The sequence below is a fragment of the Homo sapiens genome, chromosome 17, assembly GCF_000001405.40.
Source record: "Homo sapiens chromosome 17, GRCh38.p14 Primary Assembly".
In the NCBI taxonomy this organism is placed as follows: Eukaryota; Metazoa; Chordata; class Mammalia; order Primates; family Hominidae; genus Homo; species Homo sapiens.
Window position 1 is genome coordinate 50,784,478 of NC_000017.11, and position 20,224 is coordinate 50,804,701.

General features: G+C 51.1%; 3 annotated features.

Annotated features, from left to right (window-relative positions):
• Positions 14,108–14,658: an enhancer, noted in NCBI's record as "H3K27ac-H3K4me1 hESC enhancer chr17:48875946-48876496 (GRCh37/hg19 assembly coordinates)". NCBI's record gives its function as "activates a minimal SCP1, AML or CMV promoter by ChIP-STARR-seq in primed H9 embryonic stem cells {active_cell/tissue: H9 hESC(primed)}" and the evidence as "EXISTENCE:reporter gene assay evidence [ECO:0000049][PMID:30033119]".
• Positions 14,659–15,209: an enhancer, noted in NCBI's record as "H3K27ac-H3K4me1 hESC enhancer chr17:48876497-48877047 (GRCh37/hg19 assembly coordinates)". NCBI's record gives its function as "activates a minimal SCP1, AML or CMV promoter by ChIP-STARR-seq in primed H9 embryonic stem cells {active_cell/tissue: H9 hESC(primed)}" and the evidence as "EXISTENCE:reporter gene assay evidence [ECO:0000049][PMID:30033119]".
• Positions 15,210–15,759: an enhancer, noted in NCBI's record as "H3K4me1 hESC enhancer chr17:48877048-48877597 (GRCh37/hg19 assembly coordinates)". NCBI's record gives its function as "activates a minimal SCP1, AML or CMV promoter by ChIP-STARR-seq in naive H9 embryonic stem cells {active_cell/tissue: H9 hESC(naive)}" and the evidence as "EXISTENCE:reporter gene assay evidence [ECO:0000049][PMID:30033119]".

Genomic DNA, 20,224 nt, shown 5'->3' on the forward strand with positions numbered 1-20,224 from the left:
CTCCCGAGTAGCTGGGATTACAGGCATGTGTCACCATACCTGGCTAATTTTTGTATTCTTAGTAGAGACATGGTTTCACCATGTTGGCCAGGCTCGATTCCAACTCTTGACCTTGTGATCCACCCGCCTTGGCCTCCCAAAGTGCTGGGACTACAGGTGTGAGCTACCACGCCTGGCCTCTTCAGTCAATTCTAAGTTTTTGCCTCCCCCTTTGCCCTGGGGTCCCAGCTAATGGTGTCAGCAGGGAGAGGGCTCTGATCTTGGTCGTTCTCGTTTTCTCTGCTGGTATCTGTAAAGATGGTCTCTGGCCCTATCGGGCATCATTTGCTGATTTCCGTTCTCACTGGATTCATTACTGCCCGTGTCCATCCCATCAGCATTCACCATGAGGGCCCGCGGCCCACCTGGCCTCCTTGTTATACCATCCTGATCCTGAGCTTCATGTGGTCCCAGAACCCTCTCTCAGCCACTTCAATGGGAAACTGTGGGGAGGGGTTTGTCTCAGGCCCTCTCTGCCCAGACAAGCCACAGCAGCATGTCTCCTTACGTGTAGAGACATGAGGGTGTTCTGGGAGATGGTACCTCAGTGCCTTCACCAGGAAGTGCCTTCACCACTGCGCCCCTCTACTCCCTGAGCTCTGCAGTGCCCCTACTGCAGCCCAGACAACAGGGCTGGAGTGGGGAGGAGAGAGCCATCGTGTGATCAGTGTTTTTACTGAGGCAAGGACCTCAACTTTGAAGCTAGTATCCAAGACCTAGCTCCACTGGCTTCTCTTCATTTCTTCTGAAACATTCCTGCCCCAAGGACATCCTTGCTGCCACCTGCATTGGGGCGGGGCGGTATGACATGCTAGAGAAAGAAGCCTGGTTAACATTTCCTAATCTAGCTTGGCACATCTTTTGCCCTGTTTTCAGGGTACTCCTAGTACAGACTGACACATGCCCGCCCCATAGCACCCTAGGGAAGTTTATGCTCCCAGTAATGAGTAGGGCAGAGCCAAGGTGGTGGATGAGGTTTTCTGAGGGTTGGTACTCAGCCCCTTCTGGGAGGGGAGACGATCCTGGTTGTAAACAATAGAAAACAACCCTGGTTAACTATAGCCCAAAAATAATTTTCTGGAATGATGATGGATGGTTCATAGAGTCACAGGGTAAACTGGAACCAGCCTGACAAATTGGGCAGGAACCCAGAAGGCTGGGAGGCAGAATCACAGGGAGGGTCTTATGAGGACAATCATGCCAACCTCACAACCATCACTGCCCTTTGATGGTGGCAGCTGGGACCCCAACATTAGAGGAGTGACACCTCAATGGTCCCAGCTTCTCAATAACCCTCAGTCAGTGTCAAAGTCCTAGGCAGGATGAACCAAGGCTGAGTTCCCAAGCACCCCCTGCAGGAATTGGATCTTTGGCCCCCTTAGGCTTCCATAGGGGGAACACTGCCTCCAGCCCATCTTGAGATTTGTATCCTCCCCTCTCGATTGGTATTTGGATGACAAGCAACTAAAATCAGCAAATGCACACATCTCTCTAATTTCCCTGAATGTGCATTTGCCAAGAGGCAGTTTCAAACCTGCCTCATTTGAGCAGTCTACTCAGAGTGCTGTTTGTTTATGCCACTCGGAGAGCTTGCCAAATACAGTGAAGTCATCTGAACAGCCTGAGCGCTTCCAGATAAATACATTGGCCTCCTTTCCATGGCCCCCATAGTAGCTAACATGTACTGAACAGTGGGCCAGGCACTGAGCTCAGCGCTCTACCTGGAGGATTGCCTTGGGCCTTACTGCCATTTTTCCAAGGAAGAGACTGAGGCCCAGTGGTTTACTAGCTTTCCCCAGTTCACACAGGTCTAGATGGGAATAACAGGGACTTGACCCCACACAGCCTGTCGGGCCCTGCTCCCTGGTGATCTAATGGAGCAGACGTTAAACCAATAACCACAGGATTACGTACGTGATTAAAAGGAGCACTGGAAAGGGAAAGAACAGGGTAGGAGGAGGGAGGATGGCAGAGAAGACAATTCATAGGGGTGGGGTGGGTGGGGGTCCCGGGAAGGCCTCTGGAAGAACATTTAAGCTGTGACCCAAATGATGGATTTAGCCAGGCCAAGAGCGAGGGGAAAGAGGCAGTGGCAAGTACCGAGACCTCTGAGGCAGGAGAGAGGGGAATGTGTTCGGGGGATGAAAACAAGGGCCAATGCAGCGGGAGCAGAGGGAGCTGGGGATTTCTGGGTGGGGCCATCAGGCAGGGCCAGGCTGAGCCTTGGTGTTCTTCAGCTCAGAACCCCTCACCTCCTCTCACTGACCCCCACCCCATCCTCTGAGATCCGACCTCACAGCATAGTCAGATCCAACCTCTTCTCCCCACCTCCGCTGCGGCCACCCTAGTCTGATTATTGCAATATCCCCTCCCATTCCCACTGGTCTCCCTGCTTCTGCACCGCCCCCATATCTCTTCTTTCTCAGCAATAAAGTGATCCTTTTAGCATGGAAGTCAGAGCTTGCCAGGCCTCTGCTTCTCATTTTGCTTAGAGTAAGTGCCTAAGTCTTGCAATGGTCTACAAAGCCCTCCACAGTCTGGATCCCAGGAGCTCCTGCAACGTGGTCCCCTCTCTCACTTGGCTGTAGCCCCACTGGCCCTGTGCTCCTTCTCAAGTACACCAGGCAAGCCCCTATCTGGAAGGAGGGCCTTTGCACTGCCCGTTCCCTTGGCCCGGAATGTTCTTTCCTCACATATCCATGGGTCTCTCATCCTTCAGCAGGCCTGCCCGGGCATGTTCTCATAGTGGAGCTCAGGGCAAGAACAGATGGAGATGCTAAGCCCTCTTCTGCCTGCCTCCGGTCTGCTAACATCCTGCTGGCCACAGCAAGCACGTGGCTGAGCCCAGAGTCTGAGTGGGAGGGCACCAGGATGGTAGATGCACACGGTAAAGACACAGGGAGTAAAGCACTGGGGCCCTTGCACACATGATTACAGCCCCTTGATCTGAGCTCCAAATCCCAGGCCTCCTCCTGCACAGCGACCTGCCACCATCAGTAACTCTCTCCACCAGCCACCATCCCATTTTCATTCAGCAAACATTTGTGGAGCACCTGCAGTGTGCAGGCCCTGTTCTAGACACTGTGAGGCAGCTGCACATAAAGTAGACGAAGGCCCTGCCCTTTTAAAGTTTTGTTTTGTTTTTTTTTCTTTTTTTTTTTTTTCGAGACAGAGTCTCTCTCTGTCGTCCAGGCTGGAGTGCAGTGGTGCGACCTCGGCTCACTGCAATCTCTGCCTGTTGGGTTCAAGTGATTCTCCCATCTACTCGGGAGGCTGAGGTAGGAGAATCACATGAACCCCGGAGGCAGAGGTTGCAGTGAGCCGAGATCGCGCCACTGCACTCCAGCCTGGGCAACAAGAGTGAAACTGCATCTCAAAGAAAAAAAAAAAAGAAAAAGAAATCCTATGTGTAGGGACAATGGGGAGGCAAGTGGTCAATATCTAGTGCTATGTGAATCTCAGCAACAAGGAAGTGGGTCAGAAAGCAGCCAAATTAAAGCTTAATTATAACTCTATTTCTGTCCAGAACCTGACATGTGATTCTTGTTAACCCTGTGGGGATAGTTTCAGTGGCTGGAACAGAGTGAGCAAAGAAGAGAGAGGACTGTTAGTGGGTCGCAGGCAGGGAGGTGAGGCAATCTGAATGATATTTCCAATAGGCCACTCCATGTGCAGACAGAACCTGGGTTGGAGAAGAGGAAGAAGGGAAGTGGGGAGTCCCCTTAGGAGGGTATTGCCATCGTCAAGGTGAGAGTTCGTGGTCGCCATGGTGGTCAGATTCAGGATGTACATTGAAGGGGGCCCAAATAGGATTCGCCAGTGCATTGGAGGAAAGGGAGGTAGGAGTCAAGAATGACTGACACTATTTTTTTTTTTGAAATGGAGTCTCACTCTGTCACGCAGGCTGGAGTGCAGTGGTGCAATCTTGGCTCACTACGTCCTCCTCCTCCTCCTGGGTTCAAGTGGTTCTCCTGCTTCAGCCTCACAAGTAACTGGGATTACAGGTGCGCGCCACCACGCCTGGCTAATTTTTGTGTGTTTTAGTAGAGAGGGGGTTTCACCATGTTGGCCAGGCTGGTCTTAAACTCCTGACCTCAGGTGATCCGCCCGCCTTGGCCTCCCAAGGTGCTGAGATTATAGGCATGAGCCACCGCGCCCGGCCAAGGATGACTGACATTTTGAATTTGAACAAGTGGGTAAATGGAGTTACTGTCTACTGAGATGGGGAGTGCTGGGGTAGGGCCTCTGCTTTAGACATAAAAGGTATCTGAGAGCACAGGGTCTTTGGAACCTGGTGTCTAAAGTAGACAAAGAGACTGGCATCTCAGGTAGGAGTGCAGGCTTGGGGAGCCCCACCTTCCACAGTGTGGGGGAAGCAGGAGGCCGTCAGAGTCTCACTAGCCATCCTGTTCATTCATGAATTCATTTATTCATTCATTCAGTAAAAATTTATGGAGCACCAAGGATAAGCCAGACACTTTTCTGGATGCTGGAAATAGAGGAGAACAAGAGGCGGTGTTGCCAGTCTAATTTGGTTCCTTACCTCCAGGTAGAAGAGACAGGTAATGAATAAGCAAACGTGTAAAAGAGAAGATGATCTTACAGAAGGACGGTGTCACAAGGAGCAGTAGAGGGTGGTAGGGAGTGCCAGGGAAACAGAATTGGGTAGGGGGTCACCCAGGCAGCCCCAAGGACCAGTCCCAGACTCCCAGGAGGACCTACCTCAGTTTGTCTTCTTTTTGTCCCACAGAATGGCTGCTATACCATTAGGAAGGGGAGGGAAGAGGAGTGGCCCTGCAGTGACCCTCAGGGGTCTTTGGAGGGGGGGGCTTTGTCCTAGAGGAAGAATCTCTTCGCAGGGTGCTGTGGCTCATGCCTATAATCCCAGCACTTTGAGAGGCCAAGGCAGGTGGAGCACCTGAGGTCAGAAACTCCAGACCAGCCTGGCCAACGTGGTGAAACCCCATCTCTACCAAAAATACAAAAATTAGCCAGGCGTGTTGGTGCGTGCCTGTAATCCCAGCTACTTGGGAGGCCGAGGCAGGAGAATCACTTGAACCCAGGAGGCAGAGGTTGCAGTGAGCTGAGATCATGCCATTGCACTCCACCCTGGACAACAGAAAAAGACCCTATTAAAAAAAAAAAAATTCGCCAGGCGTGGTGGCGCATATGCCTGCAGTCCCAACTACTCGGGAGGGTGAGGCAGGAGATCACTTGAGCCTGGGAGTTTGAGGCTGCAGTGAACTATGATTGTACCACTGCACTTTAGCCTGCGAGACAGAGTGGAGCCCTGTCTCAAAAAAAGGAAACAGCGGGTGTGGTGGCTCACACCTATAATCCCAGCACTTTGGGAGGCCAAGGCAGGCGGATCACCTGAGGTCAGGAGTTCAAGACCAGCCTGGCCAGCACTGTGAAACCCCATCTCTACTGAAAATACAAAAATGAGCCGGGAGTAGTGGTGAACGCCTGTAGTCCCAGCTACTCAGGAGGCTGAGGCAGGAGAATCGCTCGAACCCAGGAGGCAGAGGTTGCAGTGAGCTGAGACTATGCAACTGTACTCCAGCCTGGGTGACAGAGTAAGACTCTGTCTCAAAAAAAAAAAAAAAGGAAACAGAGAACCCATGAGAGGTATATGCTGTGTTCCCACAGAGCAAAACTGCTCAGCCCACTGCAAAATTCTTCTCTGAGTGTGTGGAAATGGGGTTGCTCACTTTCTACCATTTGAGAGTTTCTGCTATGCAAAGAATTTTCTTTGTGCTTCCTGGTGCTTTATCCTGCAAAGAATGGGAGAGTGAGGCCTGTGAAGGCTCATAAGCCAAAGTTCCCATCTGAGCTCTGCCACTGCATGATGGGTGACCTCAGGTGATGTGTTCGTGTCCTTTGGGACAGCAAGAGTTAATATGGGGGAGCAATTTAGTTAAAAGAGATTTTGAAGAAGCTGAACTCAGACAATTGTGAGCAAGCTTCAGGGATGGTTCTGGTTATTGAGACAAGGAACAAGACGAATACTAGAACCTGCGCTGAGGCTGTGGCAGGCTACGGAGAAGAGGAGGCAATGATATCTGCTAGGAGAGTGTTGCATTATGGGGCTGAGGGACTGGGAGGGCCATGGGCATTCCTGGGGCTTCCAGTTTGGGCACTGGAGTGAATGATGGACTATTAACTGGGAGTGAGCACAGAAGGAGAAGCCAGCTCAGAGGGAAAAGGATCAGGTTCTGTTGAGGACACGAAGCGTGAGATGACTGGCAGATTTCTAGAAACACGGATGTGAAGTTGAGGAAGGAAGTTGGACCCATAAGTGCCCAGTCAGAAATCCTCAGGGCCTGGATGGTGCTTGTGCAGAGAACGACCAGATGATAACTCCAGCTGTTTCCCTTTCCTTCTAGGGACACATCCAGAATACACTTTGGGCCAGGCACAGTGGCTCACGCCTGTAATCCTAATACTTTAGGAGGTCAAGGCAGGCAGATCATTGGAGCCCAGGAGTTCGAGACCAGCCTGGCCAACGGGGCGAAAACCCGTCTCTACAAAACAACAACAATAACAACAACAACAAAAATTAGCTGGGCATGGTGGCGTGTGCCTGTAGTCCCAGCTACTTGGGAGGCTGAGGTGGGAGGGTTGCTGGAGCCTGGGAGTTCAAGGTTGCAGTGAGCCAAGATCACATCGCTGCACTCCAGCCTGGGCAACAGAGGCAGACTTGGTCTCAAAAAACAAAACAAAACAAAAGAACACACTTTGCAGCCTCCCTCCATTGAGGGGGCTGCTTTCTGTCCAGTGGAATGTGAGTAAAGTGGCAAAGCCACTTCCAGGTCTGGCCTATGAAAATCTACCCTTAGCTCTCCAATCTTCTCCTCTAGGCATTGGCCGACTTTTTCTGTAAAGGACCAGTTGGTAACGGTTTTAGACTTCATGAGCCATGCCATCTCTATTGCACCTAATCAACTCTGCCGTTGTTGTGTGAAGACAGCCATAAGCAATATGTAAATGTGTCTGTGTTTCAATGAAACTTTATCTACTAAAGCAGGGCCACAGCTACTCTTCTCTCTCTCTTATTTGCTACCTGAATTCTGATATTCAGATCGCCTTTAGAAGCCACATGTTGAAAGTGGCACAGCCTCCCGTTGTCTGAGACACTGTAAGAAACCCAGACAAGAAAACCAGATGGGGTGCAAGGAATCGGCGATTTCCGTTTCTTACAGCAGAAATGGAGGTCCCCCAATTCCTTGCCCCCATCCTCCTTTTATGGAGTAAGAAATAAACCTGTATTGTGTTTAGCAACTGAAATTTGGGGGTGGGGTATCTCTTCCATAAGTTAGTGTTACTTTAACTAAGATAGAATTAGTACTAGGAGCGGGATATTGCCATAATGAAAATCGAAAATGTGTGGCATTGGTTTTGTAGTTGGGCAAGATAGTGAGAAAACCTTTGTCAGGGTTTGGAAAGATGGAGACCCATGCTAGGCAACGGCAAAACATTTGGTAAAATAGTTGCCTGAGATAAACAGGTCAGCTGTCCTCTGACCCTGTAGCTCTAAGGGAAGAAGTCATAAAGTACAGGCAGCACTTAACAAGGTCTCAGAAGAATAAGATGGGACCAGTGAGCACTGGCTGATTTGCAAGCAAAACTAAGATGAAATAGGGACTCCCGGAATTTGGGGTATTGGTTAGGAACATTGACGGCTTCTAGATGCCAAACAGAAGGAAATCATAGCTTAAAGGCCTTTGAGCAGCAAAGGCCCATGAAGCCTCAACCTCAGGCAAGGTCAGAGTCAGGGAGTGTCCTTCCCCAGGCCTGAGAACCTCAAGATTGCCATCAGCACATCGAGAGAGAATGGCCGGAGGGCGGACAGCAGAAGAATCAGGCTGGAGAACTGTGTCTAACTGTGAATTTCGCACGTGGTTGCTGGCATCCAGAAATGACTGGAAGCAAGTAGAGGAGCCTTTTCAGATTTTCAGGGAACTGTATGTCAAATAAGCCATAAGCCTGAACTTCAAAAAATAAACAAATAAAAAAGAGAGAAAGTGTTTGAACTTTTGGGCCTTAAAACCACCTTGAGGCTGGATGTGGTGGCTGACGCCTATAATCCCAGCACTTTGAGAGGCTGAGGCATGTGGATCACCTGAGGTCAGGAGTTCGAGACCAGCCTTACCAACATGGTAAAACCCCATCTCTACTAAATACACACACACACACACACACACACACACAGTTAACTGAGCATGGTGGCGCATGCCTGTAATCCCAGCTAGTTGGGAGGCTGAGGCAGGAGAATCGCTTGAACCCGGGAGGTGGAAGTTGTGGTGAGCTGAGATTGCGCCATTGCACTCCAGGCTGGGCGACAGAGCGAAACTTCGTCTCAAAACAAAACAAAACAAAACAAAACCACTTTGAGATCTTAAAACTTTTACCCGAAGGAGCTGCAGGCTACAAAAGATGAGCAGCAACCCGGGAGGGTCTACCCCTCAACGGTCGCTGCGAATGCGGCCTTGGAGCAACATGGCAAGACGACAGTGTGGAGGGCAGGGCTGGGAGCCATAGAGAAGAGGACAGGGCAATTCCTTCAAGGGTGGGGGCGCTCCCAGCACCCACCTGGCCAAATGGCATCATCGCTGTCATCAGAGCCTGCTTTGCATCTTCTGTTCTTCCCTTCTCTGAAGAGGATGTTGTCCTGTGCTTGCCCTATCTGCACCCCACCACTGGATCCGGAAGTGTGTTGTGTGTCTATACTGGGGTGGAGAAAGGAAGGACACGATAACTTGTTCTTTTAGGCATCGGTTTCCAGATCACAGGGAGTCACAGAGGACCTGGAGGAGAGAATCCTGTGTGTGCTGGAGATCCCGAACTGTGGCGGAGGCCCCAGGAGGCAGTGATGGTGTGGACTCAGCTGCCTCTCCGGGAAGCAGTGAGTGTGTTCCATGTGTAAGAGGAAGAGTGAAATGGCTACTTAGTGGCTATTGGGCAACCCATGGCAGAGACTGGCTAGAGGCTTACGAACGCTGTCTTAGTCCATTTTGCATTGCTGTAAAGGAAACTGAGGCTGGTAATTTATAAAGAAAGAGGGGTGTTTGGCTCATGGTTCTTCAGGCAGTACAGGAAGCATGATACCAGCACCTGCATCTGGGGAAGGCCCCAGGAAGCTTCTACTCAGGGCCACAGGACAAGGGGGAGCAGGCACGCCACATGGCCAGAACGATGCCAGGCTCCTTTAAATAACCAGGCCGGGTGCAGTGGCTCACACCTGTAATCCCAGCACTGTGGCCAAGGTAGGAGGATTGCTTCAGGCCAGAAGTTTGAGACCAGTCTGGGCAACATAGCAAGACGCCATCTCTAAAAAAAAAATCAGGCTGGGCGCCGTGGCTCACACCTGTAATCCCAGCACTTTGGAGGGCCGAGGTGGGCAGATCACTTGAGGCCAGGAGTTCAAGGCCAGCCTGGCCAACATGGTAAAACCTTGTCTCTACTAAAAATACAAAAATTAGCTGGGCATGGTGGCAGGCACCTGTAGTGCCAGATACTCAGGAGGGTGAGGCATGAAAATCACTTGAACCCAGGAGGCAGAAGTTGTAGTGAGCCAAAACTGTGCCACTGCACTCCAGCCTAGGTGACAGAGTGAGACTCTGTCTCAAAAAAAAAAAAAAAAAAAAAAAAAAAATTAGCCAGGTGTGGCGGTGTGGGCCTGCTCAGGAGGCTGAGGTGAGAGAATCACTTGAGCCTGGGAGGTGGAAGTTTCAGTGAGCCGTGATTGCACCACTGCACTCCAGCGTGGATGACAGAGTGAGACCCTGTCTCAAAAAAAAAAAACAGACAAAAACAAAGCACCCACATGAACTAATAGATTGAGAGCTCACTCATTACCATGGGGAGGGCACCAAGCCATTCCTGAGGGATCCACCCCTATGATGCAAACACCTCCCACCAGGCCCACTCCTAACACTGGGGCTCATATTTCAACATGAGATTTGGAGGGGCCAAACATCTAAGCTATATCGAACGCCAGCCCCTCTACTGCCAGATGAACTGCTAGATCACATTCCCGACTTTCATTGCGTTAGATGTGGCCATGGGCGGAGTTCGGGCCAGTGGAAGGTGGGTGGAAGTGAGGTACTTGTCTATCATAAAAACCCACACAACCTTCCAAACCATTCTCCTTGTTCTCTCCAGGCTGCTGACTGGATACAGATGTCCAAGGCCAATGAGGAAGCCATGTGTCAAAGATGGCAGGGGGCAGGGCATGGTGGCTTACACCAGTAATCCCAGCACTGTGGAAGGCTGAAGCAGCTGGATCACTTGAACCCAGGAGTTTGAGACCAGCCTGGGCAACATAGTGAGACACCATCTCTACAAAGAATTTAAAAACTGGGCCAGTCGTGATGGCTCACGCCTGTAATCCCAGCACTTTGGGAGGCTGAGGCAGGCAGATCACAAGGTCAGGAGTTCGAGACCAGCCTGGCCAACACAGTGAAACCCTGTCTCCACTAAAAAATACAAAAAATTAGCTGGGCGTGGTGGCAGGCGCCCATAATCCCAGCTACTCGGGAGGCTGAGGCAGGAGAATCGCTTGAACCCAGGAGGCGGAAGTTGCAGTGAGCCGAGATCGCACCATTGCCCTCCAGCCCGGGCAACAGTGTGATGAGACTCCATCTAAAAAATAAATAAATAAATAAATAAATAAATAAATAAATAAATAAATAAAATAAAAAACTAGCTGGGCACAGTGGCTCACATCTGTAGTTCCAGCTACTTGGGAGGCTGAGGTGGGAGGATTGCTTGAGTCCAGGGGGTTGAGGCTGCAGTGAGCAGTGATTGCACCACTGCACTCCAGTCTGGGTGGGTGACAGAGCAAGACTCTGTCTCAAAAAACAAACAAAAAAAAACTTTTGTGACTTTGTGGAACTCAGGCCAACTGGATTTCCTATGAAGAAATACACTTCTATTACATTAAGCCACTGAAACCTTGGTGTTTGCCTGTAATAGCAGCTGGTGTCACCTTAACTAGAGTTGAAGCCATGGGAGCAGAGCAACCAGAGCAGGGAGAGGCAGGAAGAGAACTGAGGCAGGACCCTGGGGACACCTCATTAAAGAGCGGCTGACACGGAGGTGGCACAAAGGAGACTGAGAAGGAAGCAAGAGGAGGATGAGGGCAGAGTGGCCTTCTGGAAGAAAAGGAATGTGGTGGCCAGGCATGATGGCTCACGTCTGTAATCTCAGCACTTTAGGAGGCCAAGGCAGGTGGATCACTTGAGGTCAGGAGTTTGAGACCAGCCTGGCCAACATGGTGAAACCCCATCTCTACTGAAAATACAAAAACTAGCCAGGTGTCATGGTGTGTGCCTGTAATTCCAGCTACTCAGGAGGCTGAGGCAGGAGAATTGCTTGAACCTGGGAGGCGGAGGTTGCAATGAGCTGAGATCACACCACTGCATTCCAGCCTGGGTGACAGAGCGACACTCCGTCTCAAAAAAAAAAGAATAGGCCGGGCGCAGTGGCTCACGCCTGTAATCCCAGCACTTCAGGAGGCTGAGGCGGGTGGATCACAAGGTCAGCAGTTCAAGACCAGCCTGGCCAACATGGTGAAACCCCGTCTCTACTAAAAATACAAAAATTAGCCAGGCATGGTAGCAGGTGCCTGTAATCCCAGCTACTCCGGAGGCTGAGGCAGGAGAATCGCTTGAACCTGGGAGGCGGAGGTTGCAGTGAGCCGAGACCGTGCCATTGCACCCCAGCCTGGGCGACAGAGCAAGACTCCGTCTCAAAAAAAAAAAAAAAAAAAAAGGAATGTGGTTGACGGAGAGAGAAGTGTCTTAGTCTGTCTTATGCTGCAATAACAGAGTACCTGAGACTGGATAATTATGAGGAACAGGGATTTATTTCTTATAGTTCTGGAAGCTGGGAAGTCTAATATTGAGGGGCCGGCATCTGGTGAGGGCCTTCTTGCCACATCATCTGACAGTGGAAGGGCAAGAGAGGTAGAGACAGAGAGAGAAAGGGGCCAACTTCATCCTGTTATAAGGAACTCACTCCCACTGAGATAACAGCATTAGCTCTTTCTTGAGGGCAGAACTTCCTGGCATAATCACGTCTCATTAGGCCCTACCTCAACACTGTTGCATTGGGGATTAAGTTTCCAACACATGTTTTTGGGAGTACACATTCAAACCACAGTGAGAAGAAACTCTAGATACGTATGTATACATACATACATAAATATATGTACTTTTTTTTGAGACAGGGTCTCACTCTGTCACCCAGGCTGGAGTGCAGTGGGGGTGATCATAGCTCGCTGCAGCCTCAGCTTCCTGGGTTCAGGCAATTCTCCCACCTCAGCCTCCTGAGTAGCTGATACTACTGGCATGCACGCCACCACACCTGGCTGGTTTTTTTTGTTTTGTTTTGTTTTGTAGAGATGAAGTCTCACTATGTTGACCAGGCTGGTCTCAAACCCCTGGGCCCAAGGTCCACCCACCTCAGCCTCCCCAGGTGCTAGGGTTACATGCATGAGCCACTGAGCTCAGCCAAACACTATATATATATAATATAAAAATATATATGTACAGAGGCAAAGGCTTAAAAAATAATTTAAAAAGTATATCTATATTTTTCCCAAACTAAAAAGGATGTGTCAATTGAGGCCAAGAGGATGCAAACAATCCAAAGACCAAAAGCCTATTATTTAATTAACTTCCTTTCTTTGCTTGTTAGATGAGATTTGGATTTGATGTGTCTGTTTTCTTGGCCCTGGTCTGCTCATGAAAGCCTTCTACAGGGGGAAGCTGTGGGCAGGTTCCTATAGCGACTCTTTGGGAGAACTCTCACAGGGCTGAGTAATTGCTTAGTTCTGCCTGCTTCGTTCCCTTCTGCTTCATAGGTACTACAAAATAGTTGTTGTCCACAGTGGTGAGCCCCGCAGTGAGTGAAAACAAGTTCTGGAAGTTCAGTGTGCTGTCTTGGCACTGGTCCATGTCCTTCATTGTTATGTCTGCAGCCAGAGGGTCTTTTTGATTCTCCAAAAATCCAAGGAACTCCTTTCCCATGAGTACTTTCAGGCCCTCCTTCATTAAGTAGCCTTTATCCCCGGCAAATCTGTGAAACGTAAACAACACGGTTTCCATGGTGTGTTCCATTGGACTGGGGTTGTTCGTGAGATCTGTTGAAACCTTGGCTGGAGGTGCGTTGTGGGCGCTTGGCAAGCTGGGCCTCAGGGCCCCTCGGGAAGGAGCAGTATTAAGAACTTGTTTTGCTATCTCAAGGACAAAAAAACAAACACCGCATGTTCTCACTCATAGGTGGGAATTGAACAATGAGAACACTTGGACACAGGAAGGGGAACATCACACACCGGAGCCTGTTGTGGGGTGGGGGGAGGGGGGAGGGATAGCATTAGGAGATATACCTAATGTAAATGACGAGTTAATGGGTGCAGCACACCAGCATGGCACATGTATACATATGTAACAAACCTGCACGTTGTGCACATGTACCCTAGAACTTAAAGTATTAAAAAAAAAAAAAAGAACTTGTTTTGCAAAGGAGCCCTGGGTCAGGCACAGGGTCTGAGGCTGGCCTTGTGAGGGCCCCTTTCCTTGTGGGGACAGGCCACCACACCACACGGCAGATGCAGCTCAGGGCAAGATGCAAGGTGGCAGGACCCAGGAGAGATGCTCAGTCCAAAGTGGAGCGGTGTTCAGGGGCTCTGGGCTGGGAGATTTACGTGGGGGTCTTAACTTCTTGAAGTCATGAACCCCTCTGAGAACAAGGCAAGAGCTAAGGCTTGAGAGCAATGTAGGCAGCCGTACGCGCTATTTCACTCCAGCCTCGGGGCTCTCATGGACCTCCTGAGGCTGGCCCGTGGGACCCAGGGAAAGAGCCTCGGCCTTGCAGAGTCTCTTACAACCTTGACTAGCTGCCTCCCACAACCCTGCTGGGATCACTACCTTACAAAGGAGGAAATAGATGCCATGTAGAACTTGCTTGGAGTCACACAGCTACAAGTGTGACGCCTGAATTTGAAGGCAGGTGTGTCTGACTGTCCTGTTCCCTTAGCGGTTCAGCACGGGGCCTCTTCAGCCGTCCCAAGGCATCCCCAACACAGAAGGCGTCTAGGGAAGGGGTCAGGGGAGGGTTCAGGGAGGAGGGGATGTCTGGGCTCAGCAGGTGGCATGGCCATGGGAGCCTCAGGGCTAGGGAGAACCCAAGGCTGGGAGAGAGGCAGGGCCTTGCTCAGGACGTGGCAGAGACAGGGGTGAGCTCAGGCGGAAGCCCGAGCTGTCAGGCAGCCCTGAGTGGCCGGAGCGGAGTGGTGGACCCAGGAGTGGGGAGACGCCTCATCCAGCAGCCCACGGTCTGTTTCCTTCTACCCCTGGATCAGGAGAGAGCAGGAGGCCTGACGTTAGCTAGACTTCCCTCTGCCTAGCATTGTCATTACTCAGCCTTTGCTTTTCTTGGCCTCACAAGCAAGGCTGGGGACAGGAACGAATATGACAGTGTCTCAATCACCATAGGGAGTCAGAGGCATTTCCCTCTAATCTGAGGCCTCCCCGTCTGAGGCCCTGTGTATTTGCTTCTAGAGCTGCCTTAACTAAGTACCACACACTAGGCAGCTGCAAACAACAGAAGGGTATTGCTTCACGGTTCTGGAGGCCAGGAGTCTGGAATTCAGGTGTGGACGGGCCTGCTCCCTCCAAGCCTGGAGGGGGAAGACTTCTTGCCTCTTTTCTGGCTTCCGGTGGTTGCCAGTCCTCCTGGCAGGCCCAGACTTGCGGCTGCCTCCCCGAAGTCTCCGCGTCTTCTTTCTTTCACACAGAGCAGGAGCATATGTCTGTCTCTCTGTCTCTTCTCTTCTTTCATAAGGACACTAGTCCTATTGGATTAAGAACCCACCCTACACTCCAGTATGACCTCACCTTTGCTAATTTCATCTGCAACAATCCTATTTTCAAATACGTCACATTCTGAGATACTAGGGGTTAGGTCTTGAGCATATCTTGTGATAGGAACATGGTCCTACCCATAACACCCTGTGGGGTAATTTACCTTTCCCTAAGAAGCTCTGACCCTGAACACCCTTGGACTGTGGCATCCCCACCCTCACACCGGCCTGCAGCAACCGCCGACCTGGCAGAGCCAGGAGCTGTGGGGGCTTTCACAGCCCATGCCTGGGTGACCAAATCCAGCTCCTACCACCAGAACCTTCCTTCCAGGGCGGCTTGTGAGTGGTGCCATGCTGGGAACACGCAGCACGCAGCTTAGGGCACCGGCTGCTGCCACCAGCCTCCGGTTAATCTCCTCCAGCCTCAGCAAGAATGCAGCGGTGACAGGGGCTCTCAGGAAGGCAGGGAAGGAGGGGAGACCTGGTGCTTTTCTTTCAAGTGGAGAATTCTCCCCACAGATCTGCTCCAAGGTGTTAGCAGGGAGGGAGGGAGCCAGGTTTCCAGCCTGGGCTTCCTGACCAACAGTCCCTGGCCAGCCACTGGGCCCTGGTGGAGGCGGCTGTGAGGCTGGGGTCAGGGAGGGGTGCAAAGCCCGCTCAGCTCTGGGCCAGGTTTCCAGCAGGAGGACCTAAGACAGCACTGAGTCAGCTCAAGCCCACCTCAGAGTCAGGCTGGCTTGGTCATTAATTCCCTCCTTTGCTCCACCAACATTCACCCAGTACTTATTACATAGCAGGGGCATGCGGACCGGGAGACCAAAGCAAAACAACAGGAGAGATGCTGAGGTCAGCCACACTCAGAGGAGGGGGCTTGGGGAAGGGCCCTGGATCTGGTTTGGAGAGGCAGGGAGCATTCTCCAGTGGGGACATGTTCCAGGTAGAGTGCATGCAAGTCAAAGGAACCGAGACCTGGAGACCCTGGGGCTCTCCGAGGGTGCCAGTCATCCCTCAGGAATGGGATGAGCCCCGATGCCAGGAAGGGCAAGCGCTGAGGCCAAGGACACAGGCAGGAGTCAGACGACACGGCGTCTGTACCAGGGAGCTTGGGTTTAATCTTCTGAGCCACGGGACGGCACTGATGGGTTTTAAGCCGTGTAAAGACTTGATCCAATTTGTGAATTGGATCATCCTGGCTGCAGTGGGCAAGCTGCTGGGGTGCCAGGAATTGTTTGGAAGTCATTGGTCCAACACATGGCAGTGGTGTGACCACCTGGGAGAATGACCCCGCAGAGCAGACAAGTGGCCCAGGACGCACCTTTCGGAATGTCAGCATGGGGAGGGAAGGCCGGGAAGAGGAGCTGGTCAGAGAGAGTGTATAAGTGGCTGGAAGAGATAGAAAGTGGCCTTCAGAAGGCAGGCGGAGGATGGTTAGGGAAGATGGGATTGTCAGTAGCATCAGATGCAGCCAAGAAGTCAAGTGATGCAAGAACTGAATGTATCATTGGCTTTGGTGATTGGGAGGTGGCCTCCGTGAGTGCAGCGTGAAGGAGGTCGAAGCCAGCGGGCTTGCCACAGGCTGACAGGCAGCTGGAAACTTGTTCCTTGTGCACAGCAGTTATGAAGGCTGGGGAGCAGCCTTCTTAGAGGAGGAGGAGGAAGAGGAGGAAGAGGAGAAGGAGGAAGAGGAGGAGGAGGAGGAGGGGGAAGAGCTGCTCCTGATCAAGTTCCCTTGGGCATTGCTGGCTGAGCAGGAGCTTCAGCTTGCAGCTGCTTTGGGACCATTCACCCTGGATGGAAGCCTGAGTGAATCATTACCCCCAGGGTCTAAGGTGCTGCATTGTAGCAGCAAAGAGCCCCCATTATAACAGCACTCGGCTGATGGCCTACTGCACGCCAGGCACTGAGCCAGGGCTTTGTGCACACTATTTCATCGAGTCCTGCACAGGGGCATTATAGCCTGGGTGCTGAGGTTCAGAGAGAGGTAAGTGACTTAAGCAAGAAGCTCTGCTAGTCAGTAGCAGAGAAGAGATGTGAAGCCAGGACGACCTGAACCCGAGGCTGTTTCAGCTTCATCCTGCTGTTGTCCTAACTCCTGGGAGATATGGCTGAGAAGTTCTCTTTGGTCCTTGGCTGTTGGGTGGTAAGTGGTGGACAGGTGGCCATGCTTATCCAACCTGGGCCAGGAACTGGACTTCAGGTGGCTGGATCATTCATGGAGAGAGCGGCAGTGGCTAGGGTTGGCATGAGTCAAGGTAACAAATGGCCGATGCTGTCTTCTTGAGGGGTTCTCTGCTCTCAGGGTGGTGGTAGAACCGTGGAGGCAGTGGGATGCAGGTACCAGGGGGTTCACCTGGAATGAAATCCTTAGCCCTGGGACCCTAGATGGGCTCTCGGTCTGAGGTCAGGGTCAAGGGTCACAAGTGCTAGACAGGGTCCTCCATGATGGAAGGAGCCTCCAGAATCCTGGAGGGTAATTCACAGTAGACTGTAGTAGCCCTCTGAGGAGTGAAGCTTTGAGTGGTGGCCATCTCTGGAGAGAAGGAGGGTACAGCTAGTGGAGTTGATGGTCTAGGACAGCCCAGTGTTCCCTAGCAGTCATCCTCTGAGGCTGCCACAATGGCTCCGTGATTTGGGAGCAGAGATGCTGCACACAGTTGACCCTCACATCTATAGCAGCCACAGCTGGATGGTGTGACAAGCATTGCTGGGTGCTCTCTTTTCATCTGGGCACACAGCAAGACTGTATGCCCAGCTTCTCTTGCAGTTAGATGTGGCCGTGAGATTGAGTTCCATCTCAGTGGAGGGAACAGTCTGATGAAATGTGACTGCTTTTCTAGGCCTGCCTGTAACTATAAAAGCCTTCCCCACTTCACCAGTTCTTCATGCCCTTTCCCCTTTCATTGCTGGATGTCAACATCCCAAGTGATCTTGGGAGCCATGTGTTGAAGGTGACAGATCCCGGGTAATTGAAGACCTCTGTGGCAGAGAGCTCCTCCCCCAGCTCCAGGGACTGGGCCCACCTGTGACTGTTTATGTGAATGAGAATTCCACCTCACTACGCTTGTGCCATTATCATTCTCAGGCTTGTTTCTTGCAGCATTAACTGATCCTGTCTAATACAGACAGCCACAAAGCCGTTAGGTCCTGAGATCTCTTAGCTTTCATCTCCGGCTATTCTGTATCTGTTCAGCAGTTTTGACTCCCCCTAGCCTGGAGCTGATGTGGAATTTGAACTCTCACGAGGCACAAGCCAAGTCATTTTCTTTGGATGATTATGTTCTGATGTGCTGATGTACCATCTTGGGGAGCCAGACCCTGTAAAGTGGTTCATCCCCCCGCTTTACTGTGGGTGTAATTGTGCCTGGGGTGTTGACCTCAGCTAGGACCAACTTTCTCCAAATAGACAGGGGCAGAGGTCACCTGTGCTGGCTTCCTGTTGCAATTTTATGTCCCCACCAGAGCACAAATAGCACTCCCCTAGGTGAAGTGGCTCAGGAACAAGGAGGACAGACAGAAATGGGTTTCTCAGCTCCTGGCAGCTCATGCTGCTACCAGGCCTTTCTCCTTCTCTAGGAGGCTGGCTGTGAGGCAGGAGGGGAAGAAAAAAGGTGACAGTGTTTCACTTTTGTTTTGTTTTGTTTTTTTGAGACAGGGTCTTGCTCTGTGGCCCAGGCTGGAGTGCAGTGGCACAATCATGGCTCACTGAAGCTTCAACCTCCCATCCTCAAGCAATCCTCCTGCCTCAGCCTCCCAAGTAGCTGGGACCACAGGCGTGCGCCACAACACTCGGCTAATTTTTTATTTTTAGTAGAGACAAGATCTCACTATGTTGCCCAGGCTGGTCTCCAACTCCAGGGCTCAAGTGATCCGCCCACCTTGGCATCCCAAATGCTGGGATTAGAGGCGGGAGCCACCGTGCCTGGCTGTAGGTGTTTCTTGTGTCTCTGGTGAACCCTAGGAAGTATACTCAAACGAGTCAAAACCAAACCAAACAACAGGCCCCGATTGGAAGGACACCAGGAAGCTGAGAATGGCAGCAACTGGGGTGTCTCTGAAGACCTCACAGGCCACCGTTAGAGACCCAGCCCCTGTGGGCTTCAGCAGCTCCAGGCCACCTCCTTCCAGTCCTGCCCCCTGCACCTGTGAGGCAAGCTTGGCAGAAAAGTCCGGAGAAAGAGATCCAAAGGGTCTGGCTTGTAACCTCTTTAGGTGGGAGAAACGAGTTCAGTTTGAATCACAGGCCTCACCCTGCAGCCTGCGGCAGAGTCTTGGGGAAAGAAAGAAGCTTTGCTTTCATTAAAACTCAGAAACAGCCAGAGGCACCTTTTTCTTAAAGCCAGTATCTGCAGAGAAAAACAGCAGACTGGTCTCGCTTAGTAAGTGAAACAGAGGGACCTAGTTTAGATGGGGAAAAAGAAACACAAAACAAAGGACAAGAACCCAGTGAGTTTGCTGAGCGTATTTGCAGCTGAAGTGATTGACAGTGGGTGCAGGTCCTGAACCATGACTGTGTCCTGTGCTATCGAGCTTCATTTCACTCAGTTACCTAAAGTGTGTTCTACATCCTCGAGATTTATAATGATGATAATGGGGATGATAATGACTCATGTATTTTATTGTTCCTACTTTTCAGGCACAGTTTTTTGTTTGTTTGTTTGTTTTTGAGATGGAGTCTCGCTCTGTCGCCCAAGCTAGAGTGCAGTGGCAGATCTCAGCTCATTGCAAGCTCCGCCTCCCAGGTTTAAGCGATTTGCAGCTAATTTTTTGCATTTTTAGTAGAGACAGGGTTTCACCATGTTGGCCAGGCTGGTCATGAACTCCTGACCTCAAGTGATTCGCCTTCCCTGGCCTCCTAAAGTGCTGGGGTTACAGGCGTGAGCCACCACGCCCGGCATCAGGCACAGTTTTTAAGTGAGTTATATGTCGTAAATCCTCAAAATATTCCTATGGAGTAAGTACTATTATCCCATTGTACAGATGAGGAACCCGAGGCACAAAGTTATATGAAAAAGGCTCTGTAGAAAAAAATTAGAACAACAAAAATTATCTTTTTCTCTCTCTTTTTTTTTTGTTGTTTTTGCTTTTTTGGTTTTTTTTTTATGGAGATGAGGGTCCCACTATGTTGCCCAGGCTGGTCTCGAACTCCTAGGCTTCACGATCCTCCTGCTTCGGCCTTCCAAAGTGCTGGGATTACAAGCATGAGCCTCTGCACCTGGCCACTCATCCTTGTGTATGGAGTGGCTGGACAAAACACAAAGTCACTTAAGATAGACACTGAAGAGTCTACTTTAATTGCACATAGGGCCTTTGCCTAAT